At 41.5% G+C, this 1927-nt stretch overlaps 1 annotated feature.

Moving 5' to 3' along the window:
* Nucleotides 1516-1716: a silencer, noted in NCBI's record as "peak1498 fragment used in MPRA reporter construct". NCBI's record gives its function as "represses an SCP1 promoter by STARR-seq MPRAs in K562 erythroleukemia cells {active_cell/tissue: K562}" and the evidence as "EXISTENCE:reporter gene assay evidence [ECO:0000049][PMID:32103011]".

Here is a 1927-nt window from a genome sequence, read left to right on the forward strand (position 1 = left end):
AGCTTTGCATGAGAATGGTAAACACTAAATTCATGATAGTGATTATCGTAGGGGAGGAACAGTAGGAGAACAGGATTGAAGAAGAAGGCCCGAAGGACGGCAAGTATGTATATGTTTTATTTCTTTAAAAGAAATAAGACAATGTTAAGATTTAATGAAGCTGGATGGTGGGAATATGAATATCTCTTAAATTATCTTCTTATCTATATGTTTCAAATATATTTCACCAAAAAAATTTTTTTTAAGAATTCTTGCAAATCTGCAAGGAAAAAAACTCAAAAATTAAGCAAAAAATATGAGCAGCCGGGAGAAGTGTCTCACGTCTGTAATCCCAATTATTTTAGGAGGCTGAGGCAGAAAGATTACAAGGTCAGGAGTTCAAGACCAGCCTGGGCAACATAGCAAGGCCTCATCTCTACTAAAAATAAAAAAAAAAATTAGCCTAGCATGGTGCTCACGCCTGTAGCCCCAGTTACTTGAGAGGCTGAGGTGGGAGTATTACTTGAGCCCAGGAGGTCAAGGCTTCAGTAAGCCATGATGGCACCACTACACTCCAGCCTGGGCAACAGAGCCACACCCTGCCTCAAAAAAAAAAAAAAAAATACATGAGCGGAAGAGAAACTCAAGTTCAATAAACATATGGCAAAATGATGCTCAGCCTCCTCCACAAGGGAAATGCAAATTAAGCAATAGTGAGATGTAATTTCTCATTCATAGATTGGCAAAATTAAAACGTCTGACAATACTAAGTGGATGATGTGGAATGACTGGAACTCACTTATACTGCTCTTACAAATGTAAATGGGCACAATAGCTAATAAACACAATGATAAGCACACTTAGAGTTTAAGAGGGTCAATATATAATACCCCCTCTTCCCAACCCAAATTCTGAACCAACTGAGGGAAACTAAGGAGGAGAGCAGGGATGAAAAAGTAGTGTTTAGGCCAGGCACAGCGGCTCACACCTGTATTCGCAGCACTTTGGGAGGCTGAGATGGGAGGATGGCTTGAGGCGAGAAGTTTGAGACCAGCCTGGGCATCATAGCAAGACCTCATCTCTATAGGAAAAAAAAGCAAGGTAGTGTTTAGAAACAGAATATTCAGATTGGACTATGACTGAATTTGACCAGTAGTTAATATATAGCCCAGAATAGATCATGAGACTCTCCCCCATATGAATACCATTGCTGCCTGAACTTTGTGTCTCCTCATACTGGGGGAGAAAGTGAAAATACCTTTGTTTGTAGGAAGGTAGAAACAGTCAATTTTGTGATTGTATGGAAATTTAAGTGAGTTGAGTCATGTGCATACGAATCCAAGTAGCCAAAGGGGTAGACCATACCAATTACTAAGCTGTGGGTGCTCAGCTTCCAGTCCCACTTCTGGTTGGCTTTGTGATGCTGGAGTCGGGCTCTTCAAACCACATTTTTCCCCTGCCAGGTGGATTTTTTAGGCTCAGAGAATAGGGGTCCTTAGAGGAGACTTCAAGGCTGGAAGTGGAGAGTGGCACAATCTTCCAATGCCTGTTGGTATCACGTTGCTTCTTCCTCATTCCCAAGCAGCAATTCAGTCCAGGAACAGTGGAATCCAGTGTCCCAGCACTTGCGTTCGGCCTCATCATGCTCCCTGAGAAACACCAGCCCCAGCCTATCAGGTTCCTCCTCAGAGTACTGAGTTTCAGCTGCCTGAGGCTCTTTTTCCAAGTTTCAGAGTTTTAGTAATTCAGGGCTTCGGGCCTAGGGGTGGTAGCTGCTTCTTGAAGTTTCTATCTCCATAATAGCTGTGTCTTCTCTTTGAGCTTTCTCAGTCACTATGCTAACAATTCTTTATACCTGACTAACAATTATTTATATTAAATTCTATCTGTTAAAATAAGTATAGTGGTTTCTGTCTCCTGATTAGACCATGACTGATTTGGATAGAAA

The sequence above is a fragment of the Homo sapiens genome, chromosome 11 (assembly GCF_000001405.40).
Source record: "Homo sapiens chromosome 11, GRCh38.p14 Primary Assembly".
In the NCBI taxonomy this organism is placed as follows: Eukaryota; Metazoa; Chordata; class Mammalia; order Primates; family Hominidae; genus Homo; species Homo sapiens.